Source organism: Homo sapiens, chromosome 1 (assembly GCF_000001405.40).
Source record: "Homo sapiens chromosome 1, GRCh38.p14 Primary Assembly".
NCBI classification, from domain to species: Eukaryota; Metazoa; Chordata; class Mammalia; order Primates; family Hominidae; genus Homo; species Homo sapiens.
Genome location: NC_000001.11, coordinates 200,135,281 through 200,150,145, shown reverse-complemented (window position 1 = coordinate 200,150,145; position 14,865 = coordinate 200,135,281). Strand labels below are relative to the sequence as shown.

General features: G+C 40.7%; 1 protein-coding gene and 1 pseudogene across 9 annotated transcripts in view, besides 1 other annotated feature; one reads left to right on the top strand and one right to left on the bottom strand.

Annotated features, from left to right (window-relative positions):
* The window catches only part of NR5A2 (nuclear receptor subfamily 5 group A member 2), a 149,706-nt gene that overhangs the window by 27,270 nt on the left and 107,571 nt on the right, over positions 1-14,865 (bottom strand). The window lies entirely within an intron of this gene.
* Positions 1,667-2,615, top strand: LOC100420255 (collagen type XXII alpha 1 chain pseudogene; annotated as a pseudogene).
* Positions 3,745-3,804: a silencer, noted in NCBI's record as "silent region_1668". NCBI's record gives its function as "represses an Ori minimal core promoter by ATAC-STARR-seq in GM12878 lymphoblastoid cells {active_cell/tissue: GM12878}" and the evidence as "EXISTENCE:reporter gene assay evidence [ECO:0000049][PMID:35858748]".

Below are 14,865 nucleotides of genomic sequence, written 5' to 3'. Positions count from 1 at the left end.
AGAAGTATAGGAGAGAGTGCTCCTTCAAATTGCTCCACTTGGCTTCTAAGCAATTAATGTTTATCCATCCAACCAACCATCCATCCATCCATCCATCCATCCATTATATGCTGCTTGAACACCTATTGCAAAGCTTTGGAGTTATACGCTTTACATAAGTGATATAAACTCTGGAACGAATGACTTGGATATTATCATTACTGCATGGAGGTAACTACAAAATGCCATAGGGGATTCAAGCAAATATCTTCAAAGAAGCAACATTTAGTGAGACCCTAAATGATGAATAGTAGTTCATATGTAGAAATATTGGTGAAATCATTATAGGCACAGATACCTACTGTATGGTTAGTCTTGTGCTAAGTACAGTTGGGATATAAAAGCAATGCAGGATGAGTTCCCTGTTGATGAGGAGCCCACAATATGTGCACTCCCGGCATTGTGATGCACACACACTGCTGGCGTATGGTTTTCTGAGTGTGTGCTATTACCGCCTACAATTGGCCTCAGGTGCTACTGCTGACAGCTGTCAGGTTCCTTTGTGCATGGGCCTTTCCTTGGTCTCACCCCAATTTGCTGCGTGTTGAGGGGAATACGTGGATGTGACAACATAGCTGTGGGTTGCTTCCAAGTACTAGTGAGTCAGTGGCCAACAGACTAATATAATGGGTCACAATCAGAATAAAAAAGAGGCTGTTAGCCTCGGCAGCAGTCAAGTAATCCCAGGACCCATGAAGGGCAAGGCATAACTACACGGTAGCCAGTGCAGAAGATACACGGTGAATCAAAGCCAACTGTTGTGGGAAACACCTTTGGCCACGCATCAGTTATTGCGACCCACACTCATCAGCCATGGTCACTCTTTTGAATATGTGTGCCAGTAAACAGCACCAAGAAGTGCAAAGTAGACTCTGTCTAAAAGTGTACTGCGTGTGGCCGGGTGAGGTGGCTCATGCCTGTAATCCCAGCCTTTGGGGGGCCGAGGCAGATGGATCACCTGAGGTCAGGAGTTTGAGACCAGTCTGGCCAACATAGTGAAACCCTGTCTCTACTAAAAATACAAAAATTAGTTGGGCATGGTGGCAGGTGCCTGTAATCCCAGCTACTCGGGAGGTCGAGGCAGGAGAATTGTTTGAACCCAAGAGTTGTTGGTTGTTTTAAGTTGAGATTGTGCCACTGCACTCCAGCGTGGTGACAGAGCGAGACTTGGTTTCAAAGGAAAAAAAAAAAAAAAAAAAAGTACCGCATGCCAAAGACTGGGCTAGGAGTTGGAGACAAAAAGATGAAGAAGAAAAAACCTCCACCCTTATAAGGACAGGAAATGCTCATAGGATCCTTCACGTTTCCATTTGTCTGGAGTTCAATTTTTAAATCTCATTTGTGTAGATTATTTAGCTACTAAAATATATTAAAGAAAAGAGAAAATCATCCACATAGAAATGATTTTAGTGAATTTGAAGTTTACCAGGGAGATTTTTATTTAAAAGTTTTTTTCCCTCAAATTTGCGCTTCACTTAACTTCTTTATTTTTGACTAATTTTCCCCTACATATCCTTATGTATGTATCCTCTCTGGCCCCCTGGCCTGGGGAAAGCCTCCAGACTTACTGCAAGTCTTGTCTAGAGTCTGAGTTTGTGAGATTATTGGGGGGAGAGTGGGCGAGTTGCTGGCAGGTGACCCCCAGGAGGGGGCTGCCTGGGGCTGGTGTCTTCTCCCAGCTGCTGCTTCCAGTGGGCCTGGGCCCAGGATTGGACTCCTGCTGGCAGCCCGAGTGCCTCCCTGCTAGGCCATGCTGCAGTAGGCCCTAACTGCGTCTTTCTTGGCCTAAATGGCCAAGAAAAGCCTGTCCCCAAGAACAGGAGAGCCATGGCTGCCCTCCGAGGGAATGCTGTGGCCGGCTTCCTTTGGATGCTGCCGCTGTGGAGTCGGGGCGGCGGCTGATAGGCCCAACGGACAGGTTGCAGAAGCGTCCACTACAATCTGGTCTTCCTCTTGGACACCTCCTCCAGCGTGGGCAAGGAGGACTTTGAGAAGGTGCAGCAGTGGGTAGTCAACCTGGTGGATACCTTCGAGGCGGGCCCCGACTGCATGGGGACCGTGCGCTCCAGCGACCTGCCCAACGTGGCCTTCGAACTGGGCGTTTTCGGCTCGCGGGAGGAGGTCAAGGCGGCCGCCCGATGCATCGCCTACCACAGGGCAACACCAACACCGGCGAAGCGCTGCACCACATCACAGCCCGCAGCTTCTCCCCGCGCGCCGGCCACCGCTCCGGGGACTGCGCCTACAAGCAGGTGGCCATACTGCTCACCAATGGCTGCAGCCAGGACCTGGTGCTGGACGCCACGGCGGCTGCCCACCGTGCCGGCATCCGTGCCGGCATTCGCGCCGGCATCCGCGTCTTCACCGTGGACGTGGGAGAGGCGCTCAGGGAGGAGCTGGAGGAGATCGCCTCGGAGCCCAAGTCCACCCATGTCTTCCACGTGTCCGACTTCAACTCAATCGACAAGATCCAGGGCAAGCTGCGGCGCTGCCTGTGCGAAAATGTGCTCTGCCCTAGCGTTCGTGTAGAGGAGATCGCTTTAAGCACACCAATGGAGAAACCAAGGAAATCACAGAAACAGCAAAAGCAGCAGAAATTTTAAGGATGAAGAAACAGATCAAATTGTCCCTTGCCTCAAAGAGCTCTCCGTGTACTGGAGGAGGCAGCCCCATAAACAGATAAGCTGCCTGCATCTCGCCCAGACCCATACAGACTCCGAGAGGAACTAAGGTGGCCTGGGGGAGTCAGCAAACCTCCATGTAGGCCGAGCTTTGCTGGATGAGGAGAGGAGCGCACAGTAGGCGCCTGGCACAGCAGATGCAGCCAGCGAACCTGGGCCATTGCTAAGGTCTCCTGACACCACGTGGTGCAGCGGCCTCGCTGGCTTCAGCGAGGTGCCCCCCTCTATTTTTTGCGTGAAACAATTGCTTCTTTATCTCACAGTACCTTGCATCACAGCCCACTTTTTTCGGAAACATTTTTTATTTTCCTCACCAGCCCTTATTTATTTTGGGCAATTTATCTTTTCTTTTGGTGCCCTTTGCTGCCACCCAGTTAATTCCTTGTTGTTCCAAGTTTTGCTGTGTTCAACTCTTTTATTGGTTTCAGTGAATAAAAACAAAGTGGAACCAGAAAAAAAAAAAAGGATACAAGGATAAGGATACATACATAAGGATACATTTTCCGTTCTCTATCCTTATGTATCCTTACAAGGGAATATGAGTCATATTATGTAATTTTTTGATAAGTAAATTATTATGTAAATTTTTAATCAGTAAAAACTTATTTAGCCTTTGCAACTTTATAGCAGACAAATGTGTAATTTCCAAATAAATTTTTGAAAGTACTAAGAATATTTGGGGTAATTTGTTCATTAATTTTGACTTCCAGCCCCAGTTTGAGAACCATAGGTCTGAAAACCATGATTCCCAGAGAGCTAGAGAAAGGGCCTAACCTAGTAATTTGCTATTTAATAATTATTTGTGATTTAATTTTATTTAATGTTTAAAATGCACAAAGACCTTTTTTATTACTTGGAAAGATCTTAAATATGTCTTCAGTTGCTGTACAAAAGCTCCAGTACTTTCTAGGACAGAGATAAAGAATTCCAGGTGGTTTCCATGGTACCCACTGATGGCTATTTATACAGCCTGTTACAATCACAACTGTATCACATTAAAAAACCGACTATCCTGTGTTGGCCTCCACAGAAAATTTCTGACAGTAGTTACAGCTAAACAAGTAGAGCAACAGAATCCACTGAGTAGGGTTACAGAAAGTGAAACTATCATTATTTCTTCTTTATATTTGGAGTGCTGTAGACAGATCAGATTCACCTAGAATCTGAGGCCAATTGTAGCAGGTAGATGAATTTCTTTATCTACCAATGCAAAACTCACAGGTGAACTTCTGCAAGTGAATGGCAAATTAGAAACTCAAGAATCTCATGGTTGATATTTAGTAACCTTGTTAATATTTACTAATCTTGTTTCTTGTACTTAGTAGTCTTTAATATTTAGGAATCCTATAATTTTATTTCATTTACATTTTAATTTTTATTAAAGGGAAGAGATTATGAGGTATCTTCAATAAATTTTTGATAAGTAAAATTTTTGAAGAGTAAAATTGTATTTGGTAATGAATCTTTAGTAAAGCTTATATTCATTTATCTGGTGTACTTATATCTGTGTACAGTGTTCTCCTAATATATGAATTTTTCCTTATGTTCAGGCATAAACTGACTGCCCTTCTTGCAGTTACTTTCATTATTAGGGACATCAAAGTATCAAGGCACCTAGAAACCTGCAACATGATAGCCTATAGGTGTGGTGGCATGCACCTGTAGTCCCAGCTACTCAGGAGGCTGAGGCTGATTGCCTGAGCTCAGGGGTTCAAGGCTGCAGTGAGCTATGGCCATTGCCACTGCACTCCAGCCTGGACAACAGAGCAAGACCCTGCCTTTAAAAAATAATCAAACAAACCTGCAACATAAGAACCTAGTGTAACCCGACCTTCTAATTTTTTAGAAAGAAACTGGAATTCATATTTTATGTGGATTCTCTTGATTTTAAATGTTGAGTCACCTTTATAACACACACACACACACACACACACACACACACACACACACACACACAAATTCTATCAATGGCCTACCAGTTTCTGACATTTGCCTAGGTATATTTCACACAGGAATTGGTGAACCACCTGCTTCATACTCATCTGAGAAACTGGTAAAAAAAAAATTGCCATTACTCTGGAAATTCCAATTTGGTAGTTCTAAAAAAAATTTTTTTTTGAGACAGTCCTGCTCTGTCACCTAGGCTGGAGTGCAGTGTCTCAGTCTCAGCTCACTGCAACCTCCGCCTCCCGGGTTCAGGCGATTCTCCTGCCTCAGCCTCCTGAGTAGCTGGGACTACAGACACGTGACACCACGCCTGGCTAATTTTTGTATTTTTAGTAGAGATGGGGTTTCACCATATTGGTCAGGCTGGTCTTGAACTCCTGACCTTGTGATCCGCCTGCCTCAGCCTCCCAAAGTGCTGGGATTACAGGTGTGAGCCACTGCGCCCGCCCAGTTCTGAATATTTTTAAGCCACCTCCCTCAACCCCCAGATGATTCTGATGAGCAACGAGGTTTAAACAGTAGGAGTGCTAGAGCATCATATAAAGAGGTGGTTAAAATGCAGATTCCTGGGCCCCATCCTTAGCAATTCCTATTTAGTAGGTCTCAGAGAGGTCTTAGGAATCTGCTAGTTTCATAAGGACCTGGGTAAGACTTACTCACGCTCAATTTCCTTATCTGTAAAATGAGCAAATTTCACCTCATACCGTAATTGGTGAAGGAATTAAATGAGATAACGATGTATCTAAAAAGGCCTTGGACAGCATCTAGTACACAAGAGTTTCTTAATAAACAGTTAACATCTTCAGTATAAGACTATGTTAAGTGTTTGAGACTGGGTAAGATGTTTTAAAATGGTATTTTGATCATGGCAAATGTAATAAAAATTGGAAACAATGTAATGGGTTAATAGAAGAGGGAAATTCTTTCCCAAATGGCAGATTTGATAGGTCTTTCCATAGAGGAAGAGTTTGTCTGAGCTTGAAAGACTGGGGGTTGTTTTGAATGGCATTTCAAGAAGAGAGGCAGAACACAAACTAGCCCCAAAGTAGTAAGATATAGAATAGGCTCCAGGAAGATCAAATTGCTCAGTTTGTTGGGCAACAGTGTGCTGACATGGGCAAGGAGAATGGTGAGACACAAACTTGGAAAGGCAGACCGGAGACCCACGGCACAAGGCTTTAGGAGATCCTGGCCTTGAGTGTTGTTCTGTGTGTGTGTGTGTGTGTGTGTGTGTGTGTGTGTGTGAGAGAGAGAGAGAGAGAGAAACAGTGCTGGGATGATGGTGGCGGTGGTGGTTGGTGGTGATGGGAGGATTCAAACATTTCAGGCTCTTTGGAAACAGAAGAGTTATGCTGTGCTTCTTGTCAAAATATTGTGGTGAATTCTCATTTTGGTGCACTCTTCCTGTTACAAACATATCAATGACAGAAAAATACAAAGGGAGAGAAAAGGACATAGCTAGGCTCAAACAATGTCAACATCTCTGTCACAAACAGAGCAGAAATGCAGAGCAGTGGCCAGGATTTAAACGGTGAACAGTAGCCGGGCATGGTGGCTCATGCCTGTAATCCCAGCACTTTGGGAGGCCAAGGTGGGTGGAACATGAGGTCAGGAGTTTGAGACCAGCCTGACCAACATGGTGAAAACTGTCTCTACTAAAAATAAAAAAATTAGCTGGGCCTGGTGGCGCGCGCCTGTAATCCCAGCTACTCGGGAGGCTGAGACAGGAGAATCGCTTGAACTCGGGAGGCGGAGGTTGCAGGAGCCGAGATCGCACCACTGCACTCCAGCCTGGGCAACAGAGTGAGACTCCATCTCAAAAAAAAAAAAAAAAAAAAAATTATGAACAATAGCTGGAGTCCAGTGAACAGTAGCTGGAGTCCAGCTTCTGAAGGGTGTTGGGGCCTAAAGTGTGGCAACCATGCATGTGGCAACCAGAGCTAGGTCTTGCTTAAAGTAAAGCATGGCGCAGGGCTGGGGCAGGAGTTCCAAACTTCCACTCCTTTTGTAAAAGGAGGCTATTAGAAGGAATGAAAGAAGGGGGAAAAAAAAAACAAAACTAATCCTAATTTACTGCCCAAGCTATAGATTTGGTAAGCTGTGGAACTAGGCAAGGTAGCAGGGCAAAAATATATCCCCGGACTGGGAGTTAAAGCAGGGCCCCCACTGCCTCTGTGACTGGATCTAAAGTATCTTCAGTATGACCACAGTGCAGAAGCCTAAACACCATATAGGACTTGCCTCTGGACTCAGGATCTCATAGAGTCAGACAGAAGCTAATACAGAAATGCTAAATGCAGAGGAGTGAGCACAGTGTGTGTAGCAAAGAAAACACAAGACAGGAGAAAGAGACGGAAACAAGAGCAGCCACCAAAAGTCTTACTCAAAGTAAGTCTGCAACTAATAATGTGAAAAACCACACACACACACACATACACACACACTTTTTACATACAGCATATACAGCAAGATATATATTGCTAAGGAAAAAGTCAGCAAAAATAAAACATCAACTCACTCCAGAAGAAATTATTTCTATGGAAGAATCTGACAAAAACCTCAAAATCAGTTTGCTTGAGGTGTTTAAGAGAGAAATAGAGATATTATTCATCTAAAAAGAAAGATATCAGTGCCATAAGACAAGGCAAGAAGAAAAAAATCTTAATAAATAAATTGATTAATTAAAAAGGAAAAAATGAAAAAATTTAAAAGATACGTAATGAAACAATAGAAGCCAAATTTAAACATTAATGGGAAAACAGGTCTATTAGAAATCTTTAAAGCAAGACAGACATGGTGGCATGCACTTGCAGTCCCAGCTATGTGGGAGGCAGAAGTGGGAGGATTGCTTGAGCCCAGAAGTTTGAGGCTGCAGTGAGCCATGATCATGCCATAGCATTCTAGGCTGGGTGACAGAGTGAGACCCTGTCTCTAAAGATAATAATGATAATAATAATTTTTTTTTAAAAAAAAGAAGTCTTTAGGCTGGGCGCAGTGGCTCACGCCTATAATCCCAGCACTTTGGGAGGCCGAGGCGGGTAGATCACGAGGTCAGGAGTTCGAGACCAACCTGGCCAAGATGGGAAACCCCATCTCTATAAAAATACAAAAATTAGCCGGGCGTGGTGGCAGGCACCTGTAATATCAGCTACTCAGGAGGCTGAGGCAGGAGAATCACTTGAACCCGGGAGGCAGAGGTCGCAGTGAGCTGAGATCGTGTCACTGCACTCTAGCCTGGGCAACAGAGCAAGGCTCCATCTTAAAAAAAAAAAAAAAAAAAAAAAAAAAAAGAAGTCTTTAAAACAAAAAACAATTATTCAAAACACTAAGTTGATGGTATATGTGCTAGACTGGATATAGTTGAAGAGGGAATTATGCAAAAAGCAGCACAGTGAGATAAAAGGGGGAAAAAAGCTTAAAAACTAGAAGACACAGTAGACTGTGAGGCTCCAACATATGCCTGATAGGAGTTAGCAGAGGGATTTGCATAGAAGTGACATATGAAAAGAGAATAGCAGAATTCTTCAGTGCCCTCTAATTGGATGTGCACTTCCGGTATACTCAGACACCTTGTAGTAAAAGTATATAAGACACTGGCAATAAAGAAAAACCTTAAAAATTATCAAAAAGAAAAGACAGTAGACTTCCAAAAGACTTCCCAAGTGTTAAGAGACTATATTGTCAACTTCAAGTTTTATATTCACCTAAACTATCTTCCAAGAAGTGGCCAAATTTAAAACATTTCCTACATACAAAAACTAGGATGGTTTATTAGTAAATAGATCAAACTCACCTCTTAAAAAATAGATTATAGACCTATGTTTCCCATATGACCCAACAAGTGCATTCTTGGGCATTTATCCAAGAGAAATGAAAACTTATATTTACATAAAAACCCATACATGATATTCATAGCAGCTTATTTGTAGTACCCCAAAACTGAATGTATACAACTCAAATGTCTTTCAATAAGTGAAGGGTTAAGCAAACTGTGGTATATCCATACCAAAGAACACTACACAATCATAAAAATGAACAAACTATTGATACACTTATGGATGAATCTTAGGGGAATATTGCTGAGTGAAAGATGCCAATTCCAAAAGGTTACATACTATATACTTATATAACATTCTTGAAATATCAAAATTACAGAGATGGAGAAGAGATTAGTGATTGTCAGGTGTTAAGAATGGAGGGAGGGGTGGGTGCTATAAAAGGGCTAGCGCAAAGGAAACTTGTGGTGATGAAAAAGTTCTGTATCATGATTATGTTGGTAGTAACATGAACCTACATGTGATAACATTGCCAGAACCCACCCCCCAACACATACAAACACACAAACGAGTGCATTTAAACTGGTGAAATATGCAAACTGAATAATTGGTAAAGTCTACAGACTATACCAATGCCATTTTCCTGGTTTTGTTTGTTTGTTTGTTTGTTTAGAGATGGAGTTATCTCTTGTTGCCCAGGCTGGAGTGCAATGGCATGACCTCAGCTCACTGCAACCTCCACCTCCCAGGTTCAAGCAATTCTCCTGCCTCAGCCTTCCAAGTAGCTGGGATTATAGGCATGTGCCACCATGCCCGGCTAATTTTTGTATTTTTAGTAAAGACTGGGTTTCTGCATGTTGGTCAGGCTGGTCTCAAACTCCTGACCTCAGGTGATCCATGCACCTTGGCCTCCCAAAGTGCTGGGATTATAGGCGTTAGCCACTGCGCCCTGCCTTTCTGATTTTTAGATTGAGGATAGTTATGTGAGATGTTGCCATTGGAGAAATTGGATGAAGGGTACTTGGGACTCCCCTATATGTATCTTAACATCCAACTTCCTGTAGATTTAAAATGATCTCAAATTTAAAAGTTTAAAGGGATTGTAGGCTAGATTAAAGAAAAGCCAAATAAAATATAGACATCTGCTGCTTACAGGAAAACCACCTAAATCACAGAAACACAAGAAACTCCACTAAATCAACTGAACAGGAGAAAACAAGGAGAATGGGAAAAAAGATGTCAATCTTAATTTTAAAAAGCTGATAAAACATTCTTAATATCAGACAAAGCAGATTTAAAAGATCAAAACATTAAAAGAAAATAAGTGGCGAGGTGTGGTGGTGCTCGCCTGTGATCCCAGCACTTTGGGAGGCTGAGGCGAGAGGATCACTTGAGCTCAGGAGTTTGAGACCAGCCTGGGCAACATAGTGAGACCTTGTCTCTATAAAAAGAAAAGAAAGAAAGAAAATAAGAAGCACACGATAATAATAAAAGAAATAATCTACACAGAAGATATAACAAATTTATCAATAATGATATAAAGAAATAAATACTGACATCTAAAATTGAGACTGTGTCATATATGCCATATTTATTAAAATTAACTAAATATCACATCAAAAGAAAGTTTCAGTAATATGCATAACCTCATAGTGAAATCATCTTATAATCCAAAAATAAAAAGATAATCAAAACCTCCATTTGTTTGGAAATTTTAAAACCCATTGTGAAATAAATCTCGATTACAATCGAGATGACAAAATATTTAGCACTGGACGTAGGGCTACCAGACAGGGCTACTGGTGTTGTGTACCACACAACTCTTAGGGATGCATTGATATATACTATAGTGTGAGTGGTGCCCCCTAGAGTTCTGTACAGTGACTTGCATAAACCCACAGCAGCCTTGAATGTCTGTCTCCAATATCAAAACTTCCACAAATACAACTATGGCTGTGCCAAGAGGCAACTTTCTAATACTAAATGCTTTCATCAAATGAGAAACAAAACAAAACAAAACAAAAGAACAATGAAAATGTATGGCTGAAAATTAGATGAATAAAATCGTCAACTGAAGAAGCTAGAACCAGAACAATAAAATAACAAAAGATAAGAGAATAATTTGTTGAAATAAAAGGCAAAGAAAAAATAGCTGTTGGATCTCTCTCCAAGATCAATAGCTTCTTCTCTTTTTTCTACTAAAAAGAAGACTACTAAAATAGACAACACTTTTCATATCAAGTCATTTGACTTTAGAATGATTCCTATAAAAGACTGAAATAAGACAAGAGTACCTGTTATCACACCAAGTCAATATTGTCTAACCAACAAAATAAGATCAGAAATGGAATCCAGAAAAGCAAAAGATAAATCTGTATTTATTTTCAGACTATGAATGTCTACACAGAAGGTTGAAGATAAATTACAGAAAAGCCATTTCAAATAATAAGGGCATTTAGTAGATTTGTTAAATAAAAATGCAATATAAAAATATCCAGCCACATGGATATTAACTACAGAAAAGGTTTGCATTATAAAAACCAACTCTATATAATAGCTAGAATAAATTAGTAACAAATGATGTACAATACCTCTGTGGAGAAAATTGTATGACTTTATTGAAGGACATCAGAGTACACCTGACTAAAGGAAAGATGAACTATGTTCATGAACGGGAAAGTCTCAATACTCCCAAGAAAATAATTTTTCTCCAAATTAATCTCTAAATACAATGCAATTTTACTCAAGACCCCACTGGGTTCTTTGTGGAACAACAGCAAGCCAAACCTAAAATTCATGTGGAAAAGCAAAAGCCTAAGACTAATTAAGACTATTTTGAAATAAAAGGTGGAGGGACTACTCAAGCAGATATTAAGATTTATTATAAAAATGCATAAAACATGTGAGATTAGCACTGAGATAATCAAATAGGCCAAAGGAACAAAGTAGAAAGTCCAGAAAGAGACCCACACATATACAGATCTTGAATACATAAGAGAGGTGGCATTAAAAACAGTGGGAAAGACAAGCGATTCAGTAAGCAGTGTGGGAAAAACTGACTACCCTTAAGAAAAATAAAATAAAAACTAGATCTCCCCCTCACACCATACACAAAATTAAATTCTGGACATTAAAGATTCATATTAAGAAAAGCAAGGCCTTAATACACTTGGAAAAAAATTAAAGGAGAATGTACTTTAAGACCTCCAAGGTTGGGAAGGATTTCTTAAGAAAATTTAAAAAGCAAAAATTATATGGAAAAACATTGATAAACAGGTACTTCAAAGAAACAGAAAGATGTTCAATATCACTGGTAATCAGAAATACAAATTAAAACAGAATAATGACAGCATCTGTATTATAGTGCTGGTGATGACATGGAAAAATAGAAGCTCTCATTTACTACGCCTAGAAATGTAATTTGGTACAGCTACTTTGGAGAACACTTTGACAGTTTCTAGAGTTGCAAGTAATTGTCCAACAATAGAGTGATTGTCCAACAATATATTACAGGAAGACATGGAGAAAAATGTTCTTTTAACATTGTTTGTAATAAATATCCACCAATCGGAGAATGAATCAATAAACTGTGGGGTACATTATATAACGAAATACCATGGATCAGTGAAAATCAAAATAGAATCTAAAATACATAAGTTGGAGGAAAAATGGCACATCAACCTGTTTTTAAATCCTAAAAACCCTATTCTTTTGTAAGACAAGAATAAGTTTCTTAGCTACCTCTTTGAGAGAGGAATTTCCTTGAAGTTATAATTAGAAATGATACTGTTACAGTATCATGGACCCCAATCCCTTTTGATATGGGCTGTCCTGGACAAATGCCAGCACATGTGGTTATCCAATTTGTCCCATAATTTCTTGTAGCAAGTAACAACAATAAACTTTTTTTAAAAAAAATTAGAAGAAATTGCTAATTACTAAACTCTATCCTGTCTATATCAGAAACATACTAAGAAATTCATATGACACTTTTATTTTGGTATTCTTAAAATACTTAAAAACGTACACAAATTCATGTTTTAATCTTCATTCCTTCTTCTTTCACTCCATTGAGTTTGATGCTGGCAATATTAGGAAAGGGAGAATCTGCTAATAATCTAGGCTAATAATCTGGTAATGATTTTCAATCAATTATCAAATTCTGTTCACAGTAAATATTTGTAAGAGGATAGGAATTTAGACAGCAGATGTTTCTTCATATTAAAAGTAAAATCTGGGCCAGGTGTGGTGGCTCACGCCTGTAATCCCAGCACTTTGGGAGGCCAAGGTGGGCAGATCACTTCAGGTCAGGAGTTCGAAACCAGCTTGGCCAACATGGTGAAACCTCGTCTCTACCAAAAACATAAAAAAAAAAAAAAAAAAAATTAGCCAGGTGTGGTGGTGTGCACCTGTAATATCAGCTATTCGGGAGGCTGAGGCAGGAGAACTGCTTGAACCTGGGAGACAGAGGTTGCAGAGAGCCGAGATTGTGCTACTACACTCCAGCCTAGGTAACAGAGCAAGACTCTGTCTCAAAAATAAATAAATAAATAAATAAAATAAAATCTGGCCAGGCACAGTGGCTCATGCCTGTAATCCCAGCACTTTGGGTGGCTGAGGCTGGCGGACTGCTTGAACCAGGGAGGTTGAGGCTGCAGTGAGCCAGGATCACACCACTGCATTCCAGCCTGGGTAACAGAGTGAGGCTCTGTCTCAAAAAAAAGATAAAGAAAAGAAAATCTGCTTAGAGTAAGTAGGCCAGCATAAGGGATTAAATACCCTATAATTTCAGCAGTGCTTCTGACCGTGGTGATAAAAGCTGTGATACTTCTTGAAACCGATCAATAGAAAGCAGCTCTGACTGAAACCATGGCATGTTGATGAGGGGGAATTATTAAGCATTTAAGAAGGCAGGATTGTTACTCAGCCCTTGTACTTTCAAGTAGGATCTAGAAGGATCAGATTTAGAATGGGTTAGCTTCATCATAAATGACAAGCACTGGTATAGTGCCTTCTGATCTACATACTTAATCAATGAACCAGAAAAGTAGCAGTGAATAGTGGAGAAAACCTAGACTTTGATGACTAAAGTGTGCAAATCCCAGTTCTATTACTTACTAGCTCAGCAATTTTGTATAGTTGTTTGACTTCTCTGATCTTAGGGAAAGACAGTAAAACAGGAATGGCAAATGATACTTTCATCGAAGGCTTGCTTATGAAGATTAGAAACAACAGGTATAATGTACTCTGCTCATACAGGACAATAAGATGTAGCTATTATAATCGAACATACTGAGTATTGTTTTTTAATATGAACTTTATTCCAGGCATGATGTTAAGTGAAATCCTTATCTGTGCTCTTTCTTGTGTGTGTTCAAATCGCCCGAACCCAGGAAGCGGAGGTTGCGGTGAGCAGAGATTGCACCACTGCACTCCAGCCTGGGTGACAGAGTGAGATTCCATCTCCAAAAAAAAAAAAGAAAGAAAAAAGTGAAGAGCTTCCTAGCATAGGCATTCCCAGAGGGCAGGTGTGAGCCTAGCCATTCCACTTTCTCATCATCTAGGGCCTGCACCAACCTAGGAAGAGGCCTAATTGTTTATTATTAGACCTTGGCTTGATTTTGGGATTTATGATAGATGAATTAAAGTGAAGCGGCTTGAGTCTGCTTACTCTGACATATTCCAAAACATCAAGGATAATAATGATGCCTTTGGTTAGTAGATCAAAGATTTCAAACTATGGCTTGGTACTGAATTAATGTATCAGTTATTGCTGACGTGAGAAAGATCTTTTTCACAGAATCTGTAAACCAAAGATTGTATCTGAGAAGAGGCATTTCCCGATAAGCAGCCTTCATTTCTATGACTTTCACAGATGTTTTGAGTAATAATCACTTATTAATACTATGTGCCAGCCATTATGGTAAGTTCTTCCTAATAATTATTGCATGTAACCATCACAATCATGCTTCAGGTAGATCATTATTATTTCAAGTTTACAGATGGAAAAAAGTGAGGTGATACACGTTCCTAAGGATACAATAGAACAAGAATCTGAATTCAAGTTTGCAGTCATCACCATTAGGCCATATCACCTCAATAGTAAGAAACTTGTCATGAACGCCTCTCTTTTTCCTCATTCATGCATTCTTCTTCTTCTTCTTCTTCTTTTTTTTTTTTTGGAGATGAAGTTTTGCTCTGTTGCCCAGGCTGGAGAGCAGGGGCGCAATCTTGGCTTGCCGCAACCTCCACCTCCCAGGTTCAAGCGATTCTCCTGTCTCAGCCTCCCGGGTAGTTGGGATTACAGGCACATGCCACCACACCCGGCTAATTTTTGTATTTTTAGTAGAGACGGGGTTTCACCATGTTGGCTAGGCTGGTCTCGAACTCGCGACCTCAGGTGATCCACCTGCCTCGGCCTC